At 38.9% G+C, this 22256-nt stretch overlaps 1 protein-coding gene and 1 long non-coding RNA gene across 13 annotated transcripts in view; both read left to right on the top strand.

The window, feature by feature from the left end:
* Positions 1 to 9967, top strand: part of LOC101929594 (uncharacterized) — a 51240-nt gene extending 41273 nt beyond the window's left edge. For 2 of the 4 annotated variants that reach the window (XR_007068041.1, XR_007068043.1), the window contains exons 2-3: positions 4245 to 6409; positions 7849 to 9967. This is a non-coding gene — a long non-coding RNA (uncharacterized LOC101929594). Of the gene's footprint in view, positions 1 to 2924; positions 6410 to 7848 lie in introns of those variants that run through there. The other 2 variants (XR_007068044.1, XR_007068042.1) reach the window with 2 other exon arrangements.
* Positions 1 to 22256, top strand: part of TTC28 (tetratricopeptide repeat domain 28) — a 701827-nt gene that overhangs the window by 156276 nt on the left and 523295 nt on the right. The gene's annotated exons all lie outside the window — the stretch shown is intronic.

The following is a 22256-nucleotide window of genomic DNA, read 5'->3' as shown; positions in this document are numbered from 1 at the left end:
AGATACTGGTTTTTTCCTCGTCTCCACCTCCCTTGACATCCCTTTGAAAGCCTGAGAGAGCAGACTAGAGCTCTGACTAGTTAAGGCCTCAGTAGTGGATCCCCATGACTGCCCAGAGTGAGTATGGGAGATCTTGGTCCAGCCCTACCCCCATTTGTTTAATAACTTAATTTATCATATGGATGTATATAGATTTAGAATTGTGATATCCTTTTGCTGAGTTAACTTATAGAATTATTCTGAAATACTATTATCACTGTGACTATTATTACTATTCTTAATTATTTCTATTAAATTATTGCTCTGACTATGAATGTCTGCCTAGTAATGCTGCTTTTGTTAAAGTTTGATACTGATGTAGCTGTGCCAGCTTTCTTTTGGTTTGTGTTTACATGTTACATCTTTTGCTATTTTTTCACTTTTGATCTCTCTGTGTCTTTATATTTAAAGTATATCTCTTGCAAGTCACATATTGGGTTTTGTTTTACTTTTTTTCAATAACAGCTTTGTTCAGATATAATTCACATACCATAACGTCTACCCTTATAAAGTACATACTTCAGTGATTTTTTTATGTATTCATGGAGTTTTGCATGCATCACCACTATCTAATTCCAGAAGATTTTTATCATTCCAAAAAGAAACCCTTTACCCATTAACGATCACTCTCCATTCTCCCTCTCCCCTGCCTTTACCTTCCAGCCTCTGACAACCACTAATCTACTTTCTGTCTCTGTGGATTTGCCTATTCTGGACTTTTTACATAAATATAATCATACAATATCTGGGCTTTTGTACCTGGTTTTTTTTACTTAGATTGTTTTTCAGGTTTGTCCATATGGTAGTGTGTATTGGTACTTCATACCTTTTTTAGTATTTTATTCTTGCTGTGCTTCAGTTCATTATTGTCCATTGACCTGCTTTTTAGTTCATCACTAATCTGTTGTTAAACCCATCTATTGAGTTCAAATTTCAGTAGTTGTTTTTCAGTTCTATTATTTACAATTTTAATCCTCTACTGCAATTTTCAGTCTTTCTCTCAGTATTTTCTGTGTCTCAGTTTTTTTTTTTTTTTTGAGACGGAGTTTCGCACTTGTTGCCCAGGCTGGAGTGCAATGGCACGATCTTGGCTCACTGCAACCTCCACCTCCTGGGTCCAAGAGATTCTCCTGCCTCAGCCTCCTGAGTAGCTGGGATTACAGGTGCTTGCCACCACGCCCAGCTAATTTTTCGTATTTTTAGTAGAGACAGGGTTTCATCATGTTGGCCAGGCTGGTCTCAAACTCCTGACTCTGGTAATCCACCTATCTCGGCCTCCCAAAGTGTTGGGATTACAGGCGTGAGCCACCGCACCCAGCCTCTCCGTTTTCTTAAACGTATTAATCATGGTACTATGAAAGTTCTTATTTACTAACTCTACTTTTTTAGTTACCTGTGATTCTCTTGTTTGTTTTTTGCTCATAGTTGTCTGTCATATTATTCTCTTTCTTGGCATATCTTACAGAAATATAGACATTGTGTATAAAAGCTCTGGAGTTACAGACAGTGTTATCTTCTAGAGAAGTCCACTTTTTTCCTTCTACTAGGCAGAGTGTTGGGTGGATCATTTTAATCCAATCAGAGCCTTGAGCTAAGGACTAGCTTGTAGAGCTTTCCATAAAGAGCTCTGGGTGTTCACCAGGGCTCTAGCCCTAATGGGTTCTGAATTCCAATTCCCGTCTCCTCAGCATTCTGAGGCTGCTAAAAATGTCTTGCTTTTCAAAGATTTCCTGCTCAGCCTCCTATCCTGCACAATTTGACAGATATCTTGAGGGAAAAGCTGGCTGTATGTCAGGCTTTGTTCTTTACCTCTCTCTACTCTCTGGGATCTTGGCCCCTCAAGTTTCTAATTTTGTCTTACTATCCCCAAGAGACAACCAAAGCTCTGCTTGTTTTATGTTTTCCAGAAGCAATCTTACGGCTGGGGGAGAGCCTAGATGGATTCTCAGCCTCTTGACCTTTTCCCAGAATCAGCAATGCCCCAAGAGAAAGAGGAGCAGCAGAATATCTGCTCAGCTCTTTTGTTTTCTCCTCTCTGCAATCTTGGCTTTTCTAATCGTAGCTGCTTAATCAGCTCTTTCTAACACCTTTACACAGATAGGCTTTTTTTTTAATGTAAGAGATAGGGTCTCCCTCTGTCACCCAGACTGAAGTGCAGAGGCTTGGTCACGGCTCATCATAACCTCAAAGTCCTGGGCTTAAGTGATTCTCTCGCCTTGGCCTCCTAATAGCTGGGACTGCGGGTGTACACTACCATGCCCAGTTAATTTTTTTTAATTTTTTTTTTTTGGTAGAGATAGGATCTTGCTATGTTGTGCAGGTTGGTCCTGGATTCCTGGCCTCAAGCTATCCTCTCGCCTTGGCCTCCCAAATCCCTGGATTATAGGCATGAGCCACTGCCCCTTGCCTCAACATAGTTTTAACATATATATTATTTGGATTTTTGGAGGAATTTGTTTTGTTTTGTTTTGTTCGAGATAGAGTCTTGCCCTGTCACCCAGGCTGGAGTGCAGCGGCACATTTTGGCTCACTGCAACCTCCGCCTGCCAGGTTCAAGTGATTCTCCTGCCTCAGGCTCCCAAGTAGCTGGGACTACAGGCACGTGCCACTACGCCTGGCTAATTTTTGTATTTTTAGTAGAGACGGGGTTTTACCATGTTGGCCAGGCTGGTCTTGAAATCCTGACTTCAAGTGATCTGCCCGCCTCAGCCTCCCAAACTGCTGGGATTACAAGCGTGTGCTACCTTGCCAGGCCCTGTTTTGTTTTTTAGATAGGGTCTTACTCTATTGCCCAGGCTGGAATGCAGTGGTGTGATCATATCTCACTGCAGCCTTGAACTACTGGGCTTAAGCAATCCTCTCACTTTAGCCCCCTGAGTAGCAGGGACCACAGGCACATGCCACCATGCCTGGCTGATTTTTTGTTTATTTGTTCATTTACTTTTTGTAGAGACAAGGTCACTTGATGGTGCCCAGGCTGTGGAGGATAGTTTTGATAGGTGAGTTGGTCTGCCACAGATGATTCTATCCTACCTGAAATCAGTAGTTTGACCTAACTGGATGATCTTGCTGCTTTTGCCTTTGAGTGAGTTGAGTGTTGGTCAGAGGAACTCACTAGATTTTATAGCTTATTCATACATATGCAGTTGATCTCCAGTTATTCACTGTAAGAGGGGACAGTTTTGGAGATTCATAAGATGTGTACATGAGACATTAGTTTATGAAAGGCTTTTACAGACTTATAAAGCACTTCCCAGATGTTAGTTCATTAGGTCCTTTCAATTTTGTAAGGATAAGCATTATTATCTTCAATTAAGAGTTGAGTTAGGAAAGACTATTGCCTTCTGTCTTCTATTTGCTGCTTTTGGGTAAAGTTGGGACTCAAACCGAGATTGTATGAGACCACATCTAGTATTTTTTCCCATCTGCATCCATTTGGAACTATAGAAACTGGCTTTTGTGTAAATCAATTTGTCTTATTGCCTACTATGAAATATTAGAACTGTAAAATAGTGTATTATTTACAGATATACTCAAAGGACTCTCTCTCTTTCTCTTTACTTTGTCTTAAGTAGAATGTAAAGCTCACAAATTGTGTTGTGTTTTGCTTTAACTGTCAACACTTGAATGTGTTACATTTTACTTGTGTGTGTTATTCAGCCAAAGAGAAGGGGGCTTGCTGCCCAATGCACTAGAGACCAATGCTGTGACACCAAGTTTTGAGAAAAGAAAAGCTTTATATTGCAAGTTGACTAACAAGGAGGCAGGAGTCCAGCTCAAATGTGTTTCCTCATGCTGACTTTAAGGCAGTAATTTTATAAGAAAAGGTTGAGGGGTAGATGCTGAGATTAGCAGGTGATTGGTGAAAGGAAAGGGGAGGTCTGGTAAAGTCCTCAGGCATGCACAGTTACCTCTTCATGCCTCCTCATGGGTCCCATGTGCAAATTGGGGGAGAGTTAGTATGAAACATCTGGTAGAAATGAACACCGTGATGTCCGCAAGTTATTTCTGTGCAAACTCCAGTTGGCCATATTGGTTTCAACTGATTTCAGCCAGTTTTATCTTATAAGTAGAGAGAGTTTCGGCATTTCAGCAAGTTGTTTATTTTTTTATCTGCCATCCTGCAAACCATTTGTTAGTCATTGGTGTCTTTAACTCTTTAGGGGCATAGTTTCATGTCTTGTTTGTTTTTCTTCATCCTCCAGTTCAGTAAAATGACCAAAGCAAAATTGAAGTGCCAGAAGAGAAATAAGACCTTTGAATTATCCATAGATAGAAGAGGTATGTTCTTCTATTCCTAATGGACCCAGGTTACTGTGAGGGTTCCTGGATCTGATTGTTAAAAATTTTCAGTCATCTTCTTTGTTACCTTCCGCTTAGTATATTATCAATGGCTTGCTTCCTGCTACACTTCTCCCTGCTCTCTTTGACTATTTCTGATCTGCTATTGCTTAGAAAACTTCATAACCAAGGTTGTAAAAATTATCTTAAAAAATAAGAATACTGTCTTAGGATTTCAGAGGGTGGCTAGAAATTGAGGTCCAGAAAAATTAAGTGACTTGCCCAATGCACATGCACAGCCTGTCAACACAGTTGACAAGAAAAACAGAATCTTCTATGTACTATACTATAGTCTTTAATTTTTTTCATCATTTAAAATTTTTAGTCCCTGAATGATGGCCTAGGAGACTGTATTGAGTACAGCATATTAGTCATGAAGACCTTTTTACTACTTTCGTAATTGATAGATGAATTCTGTCTTTTTACTATCTTCCTAATTGATAGATGAATTCTGCCAAACATGTTACTTCCACATAAGTTTGTCTGTGTGCTTACACTTATTTAATCTTAGATACTAATTCTTTGTATGTGTTTATACTTATTTAGCCTTATATAGTAATTCTTTTTTTAAAAAATAGAGACAGGGTCTTACTCTGTCACGTAGGCTGTAGTGCAGTGGTGAATCATAGTTCGTTGTAACCTCACTGCTTGAGGGATCCTCCTGCTTCAGCTTCCTGAGTAGCTGAGACTACAGGTGTGTGCCACCATCCCTGGCTGATTTTTGTATTTTTCATAGAGATGAGGCCCTGCCATGTTGCCCAGGCTGTTCTTGAACTTCTGTCCTCAAGCAATCCTCGTGTCTGGGCCTCCCAAAGCGCTGGGATTACAGATGCGAGCCACCATGCCTGGCCTTTGTATACTCATTTTCAAAAATTTAAGTCTATCATCTGTGATTTGAGAATAGGTATTTGTTAATATAAACAAACCAGATAACATCTCAGTTCTCCAAACCCCATGCAGCTCAACACTAAAGCAGTCTTCATGAATCTGAAGTTTTTGTGCAGAGAAAGCCAATGATAGGAACATTTTAAGATTTCTGCTAAGAATTGCTGAGCATGATATATCTAGTATTTATAGTAGATATGCCATTGATGCTTAATAAACATTTGAAAAACCCTCTCTAAAAACTGCAGAAAAAAGATGCACACCTGTAATCCCAGCTACTTGGGTTAAGGTAGGAGAATTGTTTGAGTCTAGCTTGGGCAACATAGTGGGACCTTGAGTGTAAAAAAAAATACAATAAATAAAATAAAAATTTTAAAAATGTTAAAAAAATTAAAACTTCGGACAAGAGAAAAATTGCTTAATAATCACTTTGAATGTGTTTGCGTTTAATATATTATGAAGTATTGATGTAAAGAGTTGTAAATATTTTCACCCTACAGCCCTAATTAGAATAGTCAGAATGTTGCTTTAATAAGTACTTAGTAAACATATTCAAGAAATTTAAATGACTTTATGAAGTTTTTTCAGTTGGGATGAATTGTAGGACTCCATCGGGAACAGAAATTCTTGAAGTCTGAAGACTGAGACATTCTGTAGCTTAAAAGTTTTCTTACCACGAAAATAGCCTTGCCATTGGCTTGTATACTGAATTAATTGGAAGTTCGCTGGCCATAATTCTGTCTTCCTAGGATCTGCCTAGAGTTTTCTGTCTGCATTCCTTTTTTTGAGGGTGAAGGGGAGTACCTGACTATCTTTTGTAAAGATTTTTCTTTTCCTCTTTAGATTCCTAATAATGCTGGGTATGCCAAATCTTTAATGATGCTCTGTGTAGCCTATAGTTGGGCAAAAGCTGACTGGAAGATACTCTTCAGCAACTTGATTTTTTTAGTATTTAGGACTTACTAATTTTTATCTTTGGAAAGACAGTTTTATCTTTAGCTCTAACAATTTTATCTCTAGCTTTAACTTTGCAGGGACATGGATGAAGCTGGAAACCATCATTCTCAGCAAACTATCACAAGGACAGAAAACCAAACACCACATGTTCTCACCCATGCTCTAACTTGAGCTTTATACCTTTATTGTAAGTCTTTTTCAATTTGATCAGTCTGATATAGAGGAAAGCTGGTGGGCTTTAGATTTGGAAACACTTGGTTTGAAAACCTAGCTCTGCGATTTACTAACTGTGCAACCCTGGGTAAGAGAGTATTGTCTCTGAGTCTAAGTTCCTCAAGTATAACAGGAGTTATAATGAGTATTATTTACTCACTACAGAATAGTAAGTTGTAGTGAGTATCATTTATTTATTACATACTTTCGACTGGCAAGTGAAAATTTTATCTGTTTATGGTGTACAACATAATGTTTTCACGTATGTATATGAATACATTGTGAAGTAGCTAAATCAAGCTGATTAACATATCTGTTACTTCACATGCTTATTATTTTTTGTGATGATGAGTATTCTTGTTTTTTTTTTATTATACTTTAAGTTCTAGGGTACATGTGCACAACGTGCAGGTTTGATACGTAGGTATACATGTGCCATGTTGGTTTGCTGCACCCATCGACTAATCATTTACGTTAGATATTTCTCCTAATGCTATCCCTCCCCAAGCCCCCCACCCCCTGACAGGCCCCAGTGTGTGATGTTCCCCGCCCTGTGTCCAAATTATCTCATTGTTCAGTTCCTACCTATGAGTGAAAACGTGCGGTGTTTGGTTTTCTGTCCTTGTGATAGTTTGCTGAGAATGATGGTTTCCAGCTTCATCCATGTCCCTGCAAAGGACATGAACTCAATGATGAGTATTCTTAATAACACCTGAAAACCATTATATTATCCTAAAGCGTGGCACCTATTTTACAATTGAATTGATTTTTCAGAATTATTCTTGTGTTTTACATTTTTAGATAGATTTTGTTTTTGAAATACTTAATTCTTAAGAAGCATCACAATGTCTAGTAGATAATCTCATGCCTCAGAAAATTCATAGCATTACCATATTAGTTTACTATTTAAAAATGTTAAAATATGGATAATAAAATCATTTATTTTCCAAATCACATGAATTCACTCAGCTTTTTTTTTTTTTTGAGATGGAGTTTCGCTCTTGTCACCCAGGCTGGAGTGTAATGGCAGATCTCAGCTCACTGCAACCTCCGCCTCCTGGGTTCAAATGATTCTCCTGCCTCAGCCTCCTGAGAAGCTGGGATTACAGGTGCACACGACCACGCCCGGTTAATTTTTGTATTTTTTAGTAGAGACGGTGTTTCGCCATGTTGGCCAGGCTGGTCTTGAACTTCTGACCTCAGGTGATTTGCCCACCTCAGGCTCCAAAGTGCTGAGATTACAGGCATGAGCTACCGCACCCGGCTGAACTCACTGAAATTTTTTGAAAATTTTATACATTTATGGTATTTAACATAATGTTTTGTAAATGGCAATTATTACTATCCATTTTTATAAAAAGATGTATTAAGTTATATGATACCTGACTTATTTTGTAATTTGTAAAATTTCAGACCCCACTGCATATGCCATGTATAGTGGCTAGCTGGTATCCCACCCTCATGTGAGAAGGGCTAAATGAAGAGATGCTGAGCCCCTTCAAAGTGAGTGCTCTACTCTGTTGCATTGCCCAAAGATTAGATTTCTTGACATTTACCTTAAAACCCTGAACAGTTTGTGCTCGAGAGCTCTGCTATTTGCTAAACTACTTTAGCAAACAGCATGCTGTGAAGCAAGACCCCACCAGAGCCCTTTCTGCAATATCTTTTAATTTTGGTTTTCCTATATGCCCACGTGTGGTTTTATATTATAGACCAATGGAAAAAAAATAATTTGATGTGAGTAATGTTGCTTTTTCCTCCAATTTTTCACTGCTTTAAAAAATAATTGAGGAGAGCCTTTAATACCTCTTTGAAAATAATTATGAAGGTTTTTTACTATTTGGAAGATCATAGAATCCACCATATAGTAATTTTTAAATATTTTAAATTGGATGTTTAACTTTAAATTAGAAAAAACAACATTATTGAAAGCTTTTCTTTAATAGAAAAATTGCTTTGATTTTTATTTCATAATTGATTTAAAATATTAGTTACATGAATTATTATTTACAACTTGCATAGTAATTTTCATACATCTCCATAATAAAAATTCACTCTGTAATCTCTTCTATAAAAAGAAGTAAACAGCACCTGCCAGAGCACTGTAGCAACGAGAGCCATCAAGTGTGTATTCACTTCGTTATTCAAAACAGCAGTGAAAGAGTTAATAAAAGCTGAATACATTACAGGATTACAAAGATTTTTATTTATTAGGGGATAGGGAGGGTATGGTATATATGGGATGAAACATTAATAACCTCTCTATTCTGCAAGACTGACCTATTGCTTTGGAACTACTCTTTTAGCCCCACAGAGACTGTGAAACAGTGTTTTGGTGGTCTATAGGAAAGGTTCAACTTGGCAAATGTAGTGGTAAGTGATGTCACTGAATGCATACCATATGTATTGAGAGTCAGTGAATGCTATTCTCTCTGCTGCGCACAGGCATGTGTAAGTGTTGGAATGGAAAAATCATTTTTATGAAAATATAGAGAAGTAAAACAAGAATGTTCTGTCCTGAGCCTGATCAGATCACCAGTAGCTGCCAAGAGTGAACACTCCGTGTAAGGTTTTCTCTTCTTAATTCTCCAGCTTCCGGCCTTTTGTTGGCTCTCAAAAGTAGTCTATTCAGAAGGCCTTATTCAGCATGTTCTTTCTTGATATGATATGAACACCAAATGAAAGTTCCATTTTCTCCATTAAAGTAAAGCTGGGAGAATATTTTAGTGTGCATGGTTTGCAGCAGATGGAAATGATTAATTGATTTAGCTAACTTGCCAAATTGTTCTCTTTCCCAGTAGAGTTGGGTTTTATCAGAGAGACTCGTACTGCTAATCATTGTAACACTTACTAATATATCAGAAAGAATATAATTGTTGTGTTTTAATTATTCTCATTACTATTATTTAAGACATGCTCTAATGCTACACTAATAGATATGGCAAATAAATAAGGCAATTGATTCCTGTTAGAAATTTATGACATATAAGATAGAGTAGAAGAATACATGGAGATATAAAAAGGTGAAGTAGCCAGTTATTTTACTCTTAAATTTTTATTAGCAAATCAGTGTCCTTACTAAAAATCAAATGGTATTTTCTTAAGCTTGAATAGATGCTATCTTAAATCTTAATCTCTTTTGTATTTTGTACAAAGACTGCCTGTTATAACAGTATGATTTTAAGTAATTTTTTAAAAATAAAAGCAATATTTGCCCTTCATAATAGGACATTAGAAATACAAATATAAATAATAAACTATATTGTTATAGCAATTCTGTTAACATTTTGATATTTCATTTTAGATTTTTAATATACATATACACATATATACATATAAGAAACATATATGTCTGTATAGATATATGTATATTTTTATTTTTACAAAATTTGGAAATACTCTTTAACTTTTCTCAGCTATTTTTACTTAATAATGTAACTTGATGTTTTCCTGTCAGTAAAATGTTTTTAGAAATCTCCTTTTTAATGGGGAATGAATTTTTTAATTAAACAAACTTTTTAAAATTTAGAGACAGGTATCATTCTATTCCCCAGGCTGGAGTGCAGTGGTGCCATCATAGCTTATGCAGCCTCGAATTCTTGGGCTCAAGTGCTTCTCCTGCCTCAGCCTTCCAAGTGCTGGGATTACTGCTGGTGTGAGCCATTGAGCCTGGCCCTAAGGAAGGAGTTTTTGTTTTGTAAAGGAAATACTGCTTTTTGGATTAGAAAAAGTCAATATACCACTTCCATTTCAGCTCCTAAAATTTTAACCAAGGATGCAGTGGGTAGAAGTAAATAGTGAGGTGGCTGAAGCTATCACTATGACACATTAACTCTTACGTTGGCTCTTTTCATTCTGCATTTGGGCATGACTCGTATAGGTATAAAGCAAGAGCTAATATCTTCCAGACTGTTCATTAAAAATTCAAAGTATGGGCTGGTTAATAAGCACTACTTACAGTATGAGTATTAAAAAATTTCCAGACCAGGCATGGTGGCTCATGCTTCTGTAATCCAAGTGCTTTGGGAAGCTGAGGTGAGAGGATCGCCTGATCCAGGAGCTTTTGAGTTTACAGTGAGCTACGTTTACACCATTGTACTCCAGCCTGGGCAGTAGAGCAAGACTGTCTCAAAAAAAAAAAAAAAAAAAATCCAGGTTAAAATATTCAAAAGATAACTTTCTCTTTTTTTCTTCTTCCTTCAACTTTTATTTGAAGTTCAGGGGTACACGTGCAGGATGTGCAGGTGTTATATAGGTAAAAATGCGCCGTGGTTCTTTGCTGCACAGATCACCCCTTCACCTAGGTATTAAGCCCAGCATCTGTTAGCTTTTCTTCCTGATGCTGTCCCCCAGCCTTGACAGGCCCCAGTGTGTGTTGTTCCCCACCGTGTGTCCATGTATTCTCACCATTCAGCTCCCACTTACAAGTGAGATGTGCAGTGTTTGGTTTTCTGTTCCTGCATTAGTTTGCTGAGGATAATGCTTTCCAACTCCATCTGTGTCCCTGCAAAGGACATTATTTTATTCCTTTTTATGGCTGCATAGTATTCCATGGTGTACATGTACCACATTTTCTTTATCTAGTCTATCATTGGTGGGCATATAGGTTGATTCCTTGTCTTTGCTATTGCGAATAATGCTGCAGTGAACATATACATACATGTATCTTTATAATAGAATGGTTTATATTCCTTTGGGTATGTACCCAGTAATGAGATTGCTGAGTCAAATGGTATTTCTGCCTCTAGGTCTTTGAGGAATTGCCACACCGTCTTCCATAATGGTTGAACTAATTTACACTCTACCAACAGTGTAAAAGTGTTCCTTTTTCTCTGCTGTTTTTTGACTGTTTTATAATAGCCATTCTGACTGGTGTGATATGATATCTCGTTGTGGTTTTGATTTGCATATCTCTAATGATCTGTGATGTTGAGCTTTTTTTCATATGTTCGTTGGCCTCATGTATGTCTTCTTTTGAGAAGTGTCTGTCCATGTCCTTTGCTCACTTTTTAATGGGTTTGTTTGTTTTTTTTTTGTAATTTAAGTTCCTTGTAGACTCTGGATATTAGACCTTCGTCAGATGGATAGACTGCAAAAATTTTCTCCCATTCTGTAGGTTTTCCGTTCACTCCGATGATAGATTCTTTTGCTGTGAAGAAGCTCTTTAGTTTAATTAATTAATTAAACTTGGAATTGCTTTTGGTGTTTTTGTCATAAAATCTTTGCCCATGCCTATGTCTTGAATTATGGTATTGCATAGATTTTCTTCTAGGGGTTTTAGAGGTTTGGTGTTTTTTTTTTTTCTTTTTTCTGAGACGGAGTCTCACTATATCACCTAGGCTGGAGTGCAGTGGCATGATCTCAGCTCACTGCAACCTCCACCTCCTGAGTTCAAACAATTCTCCTGCTTCATCCTCCTGAGTAGCTAGGATTACAGGTGTGTGCTACCATGCCTGGCTAATTTTTGTATTTTTAGTAGAGACGGGGTTTCACCATGTTTGCCAGGCTGGTCTTGAACTCCTGACCTCGTGATCCACCTGCCTCAGCCTCCTATAGTGCTTGAGCCACTGTGCCCGGCCAGGATAGTTTTGGGTTTTACATTTAAGTGTTTAATCCATCTTGAGTTGATTTTTGTATATGGTGTAAGGAAGGGGTCCAGTTTTAATTTTCTGCATATGGCTAGCCATTTCTCCCAGCACCATTTATTAAATAGGGAATCCTTTCCTCATTGCTTGTTTTTGTCAGGTTTGTAAAAGATCAGATGGTTGTAGGTGTGCAGGCTTATTTCTGAGTTCTGTATTCTGTTCCATTGGTCTATGTGTCTGTTTTTGTACCAGTACCATGCTGTTTTAGTTACTGTAGCCTTGTAGTATAGTTTGAAGTTGGGTAGCATGATGCTTCCAGCTTTGTTCTTTTTGTTTAGGCTTGTCTTGGCTATTTGGGCTCCCTTTTGGTTCCATATGAATTTTAAAATAGTTTTTCCTAATTCTGTGAATAATGTCCGTGGTAGTTTGATAGGAATACCATTGAATCTATAAATTACTTTGGGCAGTATGGCCATTTTCATGAGTATTGATTATTCCTATCCATGAGCATGAAATGTTTTCCCATTTTTTTGTGTCCTCTCTGATTTCTTTGAGCAGTGATTTGTAGTTCTTTCTGAAGAGGTCCTTCGCCTCTCTTGTTAGCTGTATTCCTAGGTATTTTATTCTCTTTGTAGCAGTTGTGAATGGGGGTTCATTCATGATTGGTCTTTCTGCTTGCCTGTTATTGGTGTATAGGAATGCTAGTGATTTTTGCACATTGATTTTGTATTCTGAGACTTTGTGGAAGTTGTTTTTTAGCTTAGGAAGCTTTTGGGCTGAGACAGTGGGGTTTTCTAGATACAGGATCATGTCATCTGCAAACGAAGATAATTTGACTTCTTCTCTTCCTATTTGAATATGCTTTATTTCTTTCTCTTGCTCTATTGCCCTCGCGAGAACTTCCAATACTATGTTGGAGAGGGGGCATCCTTGTCTTCTGCTGGTTTTCAAGGGAATGCTTCCAGCCTTTGCCCATTCAGTATGATATTGGTTGTGGGTTTGTCATAGATGGCTATTACTATTTTGAGGTATGTTCCTTTAATACCTAGTTTATTGAGAGTTTTTAACATGAAGGGATGTTGAATTTTATCGAAGGCCTTTTCTGCATCTATTGAGATAATCATGTGGTTTTTGTCTTCAGTTCTGTTTATGTGATGAATCACATTTATTGATTTGTGTATGTTGAACCAACCTTGCATCCCAGGGATGAAGCCAACTTCATTGTGGTTGATAAGCTTTGTGATGTGCTGCTGGATTCGGTTTGCCAGTATTTTATTGAGGATTTTTGCATTGATGTTCATCAGGATATTGACTTGATGTTTTGTATCTCTGCCAGGTTTTGTTATTAGGATGATGCTGGCCTCATAGAATGAGTTGGGGAGGAGTCCCTCCTTTTTAATTTTTTGGAATAGTTTCAGTAGAAATAGCACCAGGTCTTCTTTGTACCTCTGGTGGAATTCAGCCTGTGGATCTGTCTGGTCATGGGCTTTTTTTGGTTGGTAGGCTATTTATTTCTGCCTCAATTTCAGAACTTGTTATTTGTCTATTCAGGGATCCAATTTCTTCCTGGTTCAGTTTTTGGAGAGTGCATGTGTCCAGGAATTTATCCATTTCTTCTAATAGATTTTCTAGTTTATGTGCATAGAAATGTTTGTAGCATTCTCTGATGGTTGTTTGTATTTCTGAGGGGTCAGTGGTGATATCCCCCTTATCATTTTTTTATTGTGTTTATTTGATTCTTCTCTCTTTTATTAATCTAGCTTTCGGTCATCTATTTTATTATTTAAAAAAAAACAGCTTGTGAATTCATTGATTGTTTTTTGAAGGGCTTTTCGTGTCTCCATCTCCTTTAGTTCCACTCTGATCTTAGTTATTTCTTGTCCTCTGCTAGCTCTGGGGTTTGTTTGCTCTTGGTTCTCTAGTTCTTTTAGTTGAGATGTTAGGTTATTGACTTGAGATCTTTCTAGCTTTTTGATTTGGGCATGTAATACTATACATTTCCCTCTTAACACCGCTTTAACTGCATCCCAGAGATTCTGGTACATTGTCTCTTTGTTCTCAGTAGTTTCAAAGAACTTCTTGATTTCTTTCTTAGTTTCATTATTTATCCAAGAGTCATTCAGGAGCAGGTTGTTCAATTTCTGTGTAGTTGTATGGTTATGAGTGAATTTCTTGAGTTCTGATTTGATTGCACTGTGGTCTGAGAGACTGTTATGATTTGAGTTCTTTTGCATTTGCTGAAGACTGTTTTAAATCCAATTATGTGATCAATTTTAGAGTAAGTGCAATATGGTGATGGGAAGAATGTATATTCTGTTGTTTCTGGGTAGAGAGTATTTTTTTTTTTTTTTTTGAAGGCAGAATCTCACTTTGTTGCCCAGGCTAGAGTGCAGTGGTGCAATCTCAGCTCACTGCAACCTCCGTCTCCTGTGTTTAAGCAATTCTCCTGCCTCAGCCTCCTTAGTAGCTGGGATTACAGGCACATGCCACTGTGCTCAGCTAATTTTTGTATTTTTAGTAGAGATGCGGTTTCGCTGTGTTGGCTAGGCTGGTCTCGAACTCCTGGCTTTAAGTGATCTGCCCACCTGGCCTCCCAAAATGCTGGGATTACAGGCATGAGCCACGGTGCCTGGCTTAGGTGGAGAGTTCTGTAGATCTCTATCAGGTCCACTTGATCCAGAACTGAGTTCAGGTCCTGAATATTTTTGTTAATTTTCCGTCTCGATGATCTAATATTGTCAGTGGGGTGTTAAAGTCTCCCACTATTTTTATGTGGGAGTCTAAAGTCTAAGTCTCTTTGTAAGTCTCTAAGAACTTGCTTTATGAATCTGGATACTCCTGTATTGGTGCATATGTATTTAGGATAGTTAGCTCTTCTTGTTGAATTGAACCCTTTACCATTATGTAATGCCCTTCTTAGTCTTTTTTTTGATCATTGTTGGTTTAAAGTGTGTTTTGTGGGCTGGGCATGGTGGCTCACGCCTGTAATCCCAGCACTTTGGGAGGCTGAGGTGGGTGGATCACCTAAGGTCAGGAGTTTGAGACCATCCTCGCCAACATGGTGAAACCCCGTCTCTACTAAAAATACAAAAAATTAGCCGGGCATCTTGGCAGGTGCCTGTAATCCCAGGTACTCAGGAGGCTGAGATAGGGGAAGCTCTTGAACCCGGGAGGCAGAGGTTGCAGTGAGCTGACATCCTGCCATTGCACTCCAGCCAGGGCAAGAAGAAACTCCATCTCAATAAAATAAAATAAAACTAAATAAATAAATAAAGTGTGTTTTGTCAGAAACCAGGATTGAGACCCTTTTTTTTTTCTGTTTTGCATTTGCTTGGTAAATTTTCCTCCATCTCTTTATTTTGAGACTATGTTTGTCTTTGCATGTGAGATGTGAAGACAGCATACTGATGGGTGTTGGCTCTTTATCTAGCTTTCCATCTGTGTCTTTTAATTGGTGCATTTAGGCCATTTACATTTAAGTTTAGTATTGTTATGTGTGAATTTCATCCTGGCATCATGATGCTAGCTGGTTATTTTGCAGACCTGTTTATGTGATTGCTTCATAGTGTCACTGGTCTATGTACTTCAGTGTGTTTTTGTAGTGGCTGGTAGTGGTTTTCCTTTCCATATTTAGTGCTTCCTTCAGGAGCTCTTGCAAGGCAGGCCTGGTGGTGACGAATTCCCTCAGCATTTGCTTGTCTGAAAAGAATCTTATTTCTCCTTCACTTATGAAGCTTAGTTTGGCCAGGTATGAAATTTTGGGTTGGAAATTCTTTTCTTTAAGAATGTTGAATACTGGCCCCCACTCTCTTCTGGCTTATAGGGTTTACACTAACAGGTCTGCTATTAGTCTGATAGGCTTCCCTTTGTAGGTGACCTGGCCTTTCTCTTTAGCTGCCCTTAACATTTTTTCTTTCATTTTGACCTGTGAGAATCTGATGATTATATGTCTTGGGGTTGGTCTTCTTGTGGAGTATTTTACTGGGTTTCTTGCATTTCCTGAATTTGAATGTTGGCCTGTCTTGCTAGGTTGGGGAAGTTCTCCTGGATGATATTTTGAAGTATGTTTTCCAACTTGGTTCCATTCTCCCTGTCTCTTTCAGGAACCCCAGTCAGTCATAGGTTCAGTCTCTTTACATAATATCATATTTCTTTGAGGTTTTGTTCCTTTTTATTCTTTTTTCTCTGTTCTTGTCTGCCTGTCTTATTTCCGAAAGATAGCTTCAAGCTCTGAGAGTCTTTCCTCGGCTTGGTCTATTCTGCTGTTGTTACTTGTGATGGCATTGTGAGGTTTTCATGTTTTGTTTTTCAGCTCACTCCATCAGGTTGGTTATGTTTCTCTCTAAACTGGCTATTCTGGCTATCAGCTCCTGTATTTTATCATGATTGTTAGCTTCTTTGCATTGGGTTACAACATGCTCCTTTAGCTCAGCAAAGGTTGTCATTACCCACCTTCTGAAGTCTACTTCTGTCATTTCAGCCATCTCAGCCTCACCCCAGTTCTGTGCCCTTGCTGGAGAGGTGTTGGGGTCATTTGAGGAGAAGAGGCACTCTGGCTTTTTGAGTTTTCAGTATTTTTGTGTTGATTCTTTCTCATCTTTGTGGGTTTATCTACTTTCAATTTTTGAGGTTGCTGACCTTTGAATGGATTTTTTGTGGGGTCTGTTTTGTTGATGTTGTTGTTTTCTGTTTGTTTTTCTTTTAACAGATAGACCACTCTTCTTTAGGGCTGCTGCAGTTTGCTGGGGGTCTGCTCCAGACCCTAGTTGCCTGGGCTTTTCCCATGCCTGGAGGTATCACCAGTGAAGGCTGTGAAACAGCAAAGATGGCAGCCTGCTCCTTCTTCTGAATGCTCTGTCCCAGGGGATTACTAATCTGTTGCTGGCCCGAACATGCCTGTAGGAGGTGACTGGAGACCCCTGTTGGGAGGTCTCACCTAGTCAGGAGGAATGGGATCAGAGAACTGCTTAAAGAAGCAGTCTGGCTACTTTTTGGTAGAGCAGGTGTGCTGCATTCGGGGGACCTTTCCTTGTCCAGAATGTTCGTGTTCTCCAAAGCTGGTAGACCGGAACAGCTGAGTCTACCGAACCACTGAGATGGCAGCCACCCCTCCCCCCGGGAGCTCTGTCCCAGGGAGAGATCAGAGTACTGTCTGTAGAACCCTTGCTGGAGTGACTGAAACCCCTGCAGGGAGGTCCTGCCTGTGAGGGGGAATGGGTCAGGGTCGCAATTAAAGAAGCAGTCTGGCCATGACCTGACAAGGCAGCTGTGCTGTGTTGTGGGGGATCCTTCCTCATCCAGACCGTCTGTGTTCTCCAAAGCTGGCAGGCTGGAACGGCCGAGTCTGCTGAACTGCAGAGATGGTGGCTGCTTCTCCCCACAGGAGCTCTGTCCCAGGGAGAGATCAGGACTCTGTCTTTAGAACCCTGGCTGGAGTGGCTGAAGCCACCGCAGGAAGGTCCCGCCCAGTGAGGAAGAATGGGTTGAGGTCCCCTTAAGGAAGCAGTCTGGCCACGATCTGGCAAGGCAGCTGGGCTGCACTGTGGGGGACCCTTCCTTGTTCGGACTGTTTGTATTCTCCAAAGCCAGCCGGCTGGAACAGCTGAATCTACTGAACCACGGAGACGGTGGCCACCCTTCTTCCCCGGGAACTCCGTTCCAACTCAGGCCGACTCCAGCCTGTTGCTGTTTGGCGGCTGGAATTCCAAGCCAGTGGGTCTTAACTGGCTTCCAGTGACGTGCCGTGGAAGTGGGGCCTGCAGAGTGACACTGCTTGGCTCCCTAAATTCAGCCCCAGTTCCTAGGGGTATGCATGGTTGGATCTTCTGCCTTGCGGGGGATTCTGGGGCTGAAGTAGGTAAAACTTCTGGGTTTCTCTGTGTGCCTGAGTGGCTGCTCTGCAGATACTTCACATAGCTCTGTGTATTGGACCCAAGGCCCTGGTATCCTGAGCTCCTGAGGCAATCTCCTGATCTGCGGGTTGCAAAGATTCATGGGAGAAGTGTGGTTCCCTCACTACTTCCCTTGGCTGGGGGTGGGGGTTCCTTTGGCTCTGTGCCATTCCTGGGTGGGCTGTCACCCCACTCTGCTTTCTGTGGTCCTCCTTGGATCAAGTTGTTGTTGCCTAGACAGTTCCACTGTGAGGACCTGGATATTTCAGCTGAAGGTGCTGAACTCACTCGCCACTTTCATTCCTTTCGGAGTGCCGCAGAGCGCAGCTGCTTCTAATCGGCCATCTTGCAAGAGAAGCTTCTAAAGTTTTAAACTTTTTTTTTTTTTTTTTTTTTTGAGACGGAGTCTCGCTCTGTTGCCCAGGCTGGAGTGCAGTGGCACGATCTCGGCTCACTGCAAGCTCCGCCTCCTGGATTCAAGCAGTTCTCCTGCCTCACCCTCCCGAGTAGCTGGGATTACAGGCATGTGCCACCATGCCTGGCTACTTTTTTTGTATTTTTAATAGAGACGGGGTTTCACCGTGTTAGCCAGGATGGTCTCAATATCCTGACCTTGTGATCCGCCCACCTCGGCCTCCCAAAGTGCTTGGGATTACAAGCGTGAGTCACGGCACCCGGCCTAAAGTTTTAAACTTTTAAAACTTTTTTCCAGTTAAGAAAAAATACTTATGAAAAATTTCAAATATATATAAAAAAAGAATTGTATAATGAACCTATATCAAAAATTGTTTAAATTATAGCTCATAGACAGTCTTATTTCACCGCTAAATCTCTGTACCCACTCCCACTGGATTTTTTTTTAAGCAAATTACTGACATTATATCAAGAAAGTGTTTTTTATTAAGAGCATATCTTCTTCAGAGCTGGGAATGGACAACCTCAAAAGTTGGCTGTTGGGTAATGTGAGTCGGGCATCAGAAAAATGTTATGTTGGCAAAAGACTGTGCAGTTTATTTAGCAAGCACTCACTAAATGCCTATTACGTTGAAATACTGCACTAGGTGCTGAGGGTACAGATTTAAAAGACATTGGCCATGGCTTCAAACAGCTGTCTTTCTAGGAGAGCTTACAGGTAAACACCACATCATTATAATACAATAGAGGAAGTGTGGAATTTTATATATATATAGGTGTGTGTGTACATATACACACATATGTATGTGTATGTATGTATATATGTGTATATGAGATGAATGTGTATATATATGGCTACACAAACAGACACACACACACACATAGCTATATAGGCTAGTATAGGAATACCTAGGAAAACTATATAACTCAAAATTACTTGTGATTAATAATTACCTGTTATATATCTCACTTTTACTTGTTTTTAAAAAATATGCTTATGAAGACAGTTACTAGAAGGATATACCTGAAAGAGGTTACTGAACAATTTGGTTTAGATTTATTACACAGATGAGAGAGAAAATAATTTTTTTCCTTTACCATATTCATGATCAGATTACTGTAGAACATAGGAAAAGAAATGTATGTTGTTTTATTGCCAGGTTTATATTAAAGATCAAAGTCTGTAAATGTAGCAAATATAACAAATTATTGATTTACATTAGTCTATTGACTCAAGCGTAATTGTGAGTGAATTGGAGAAGCTCATCTTTCACTATTGATCCATTCTTTAGCTGGTGTATTTGTTCATGAGCCCAACTCCATAGGAAATACTTTTTTCTGAAGCATGAATTACAGTAGACCTGACACGCTTTCTTGTGAGATGGACTATTATTATTAAACTGACAATCGTGAGATCAGTTCTTGGAATCTGTCACAGGCTGCTACTGACTGGAGCTAATGACTACTTATTAATTTTTGCCAGATACTTCCATTATTTATCAGCATCTTGATAATCTGTAATATGCGTTAAAGTTCTTAGCTAATACTATTAAGATTGGCTAAAGACAATATTAAATGTGAAATGTCCTTGCTGAGAATAATAATAGATTAATATTTTTATGTAACATTTTGAAGTTTAGAGTTCATCATAAATCCCAACAACTCAGTGAGGTAGCATTTTTATTATTCTCTTTTTATAGCTACAGAAACTGAAGCCTAATGACATTAAGTGAGTTTTTCAAATTTACTTAGTAAGTTGTAAAGCTAGTTTTCAAACTTGTTCATTTATTCAACAAATATTCATCTTTAGTTTGCTTGTGAAAGGCACTGGGGGTAAAGATACGAAAACCCATGGTACATATATCCTAAGAGGGAGCCAGATATTAAACTAATCAATCACATAATTATTTATTTAATTACAGTATGGTAAGTGGTCCAAAGGAGTACAGCTGGGGATGAGAGCATGTGACAGGAGGACATGCCCTAGTGTGGAGGTTCTCTGAGGAAATATTTCATCTGAGTTCTGAAGAAAGTAGAGGATGTAGGGAGTGTTCCAGGTGGAGGGAGCGGCGTATGCAGCTTGAGGGGAAAGGCATATTGTTAGGTTTAGAAACTGAAATCAGGCAGGTGTGTTTGGAGCACAAAGAATGAGTAGTAAAGATGTCTAGTGAGGTAGTCAGGGAATTTCATTCTTTTTTAGTAGAAAAAAATCAACAAATTGTTTAGTGCCTGCCTTCCATGAGGCATTATGTGATGCAGTATGAAAGAATATAAACATTCAACCTAAATTAGAAAAAATCTGTCAGGTAGTGTCCAAAAAAAGCCAAAGCTAGTTATGGACTCTTGTGGGTAGTGTGGCATTTGATGATGAATTTTTATTAATAAGATATATAGCCCAAACAAGGATATGCTTGTTTTTAATCCTTGGTTTAAGGATTTAAGGCCTTTCCTCTCACTTTTGTGAAAATTGGAGAATCTTTGCAGTATCCAGGATTTCTGCACTGACAGCCTTATTGTCAGAATCTTGAGGAAAGCTCTTTAGAAGGACTTCAGGATGCTGCCTCTACGTTTTCTTTCTTTCTTTTTTTTTTTGAGACGGAGCCTTGCTCTGCCACCCAGGCTGGAGTGCAGTGGCACGATCTCGGCTCACTGCAAGCTCTGCCTCCCGGATTCACACCATTCTCCTCCCTCAGCCTCCCGAGTAGCTGGGACTACAGACGCCCGCCACCATGCCTGGCTAATTTTTTGTATTTTTTTTTTTTTAGTAGAGACAGGGTTTCACCGTGTTAGCCAGGATGGTCTCGATCTCCTGACCTCATGATCCGGCCTCCTCGGCCTCCCAAAGTGCTGGGATTACAGGCATAAGCCACTGCGCCTGGCCCATTTTCTTTTATAATTTCTTCAGAAAGGATCCTGCACGATTCCTACTGTGTTGCTAGCCAGCCAATGATATCTAGTGATATTGAAATCAGTTCATGAACATTTTCCAAGCTTCAAGCCTCTCAGGTGCAGGGATAATGGGGATTATGCTATACGAGGCAGATATTGGTACTTCATTGTAGAAACAACTGTTATCTCTTAACAGGTATCAGGTAGATTTCCAAGGCTTTAGTTATAGACCATCACCAAAAATAGTAATTCTATTCTGTTTCATTTGAGCAATATGTATGAGAGTCATATATTAACCATGTAAGTCTTATAAAGATAGGATGGAAAAAACATATGCTTTTATGGATACTAGAGAATGCTTTTAGTACCAATCAGCTTTTCAGCTTAAAACATCAGAACACACTTTAAAACCTCAAACTTAATGGCATTTAAAAAAATTCTTCGCATCAAAAGAGAATAGGTATAAAAAACAAATAGGCAGGTCATGATTTTTAAAAAGTATATTTTCCAACATTGCATAATTATGTTTAAAAAGCAAAAAGAATGGCATAATGCAAAAAGACTCCTGTCCTATCCACTTGCATTATCATGAAAATGTGAATGTTTTAATTTTACTTGAAAAAGAACTACTTAGGTGTTTATTCATAATTTTAAAAATTGCATTGATATGTAATATTTTACATATTTATGGGGTACATAAGATATTTTGTTACATGCCTAGAATGTGTAATGAATAAGTTGGGGTATTTGGGATATCTATTACCTTGAGGATTTATCAGTTCTATGTGTTGGGAACATTTCAAGTTCTCTTTACTTAGATCTTCTTTAATTTTTCATTGGAATGACATTCCAGAACCTTTATGATCTGACCTCTGCTAAACTTTTAGCCCCAGTTCTTGCTACTTTTTACCTCTAAATTCTTTTTTCACTACATCAAACTCATCACAGTTCCCTTCACACGTCATACCATTTTCTACTTTTACACTCATTTGCTTTCCTTTGCCTGGAACACCTTATACATCACATCTTCATATAATTAATA

Source organism: Homo sapiens, chromosome 22 (genome assembly GCF_000001405.40).
Source record: "Homo sapiens chromosome 22, GRCh38.p14 Primary Assembly".
Lineage (NCBI taxonomy): Eukaryota > Metazoa > Chordata > Mammalia > Primates > Hominidae > Homo > Homo sapiens.
Note: the sequence above shows the minus strand (reverse complement) of the source record. Positions and strands in the feature narration are given on the sequence as shown.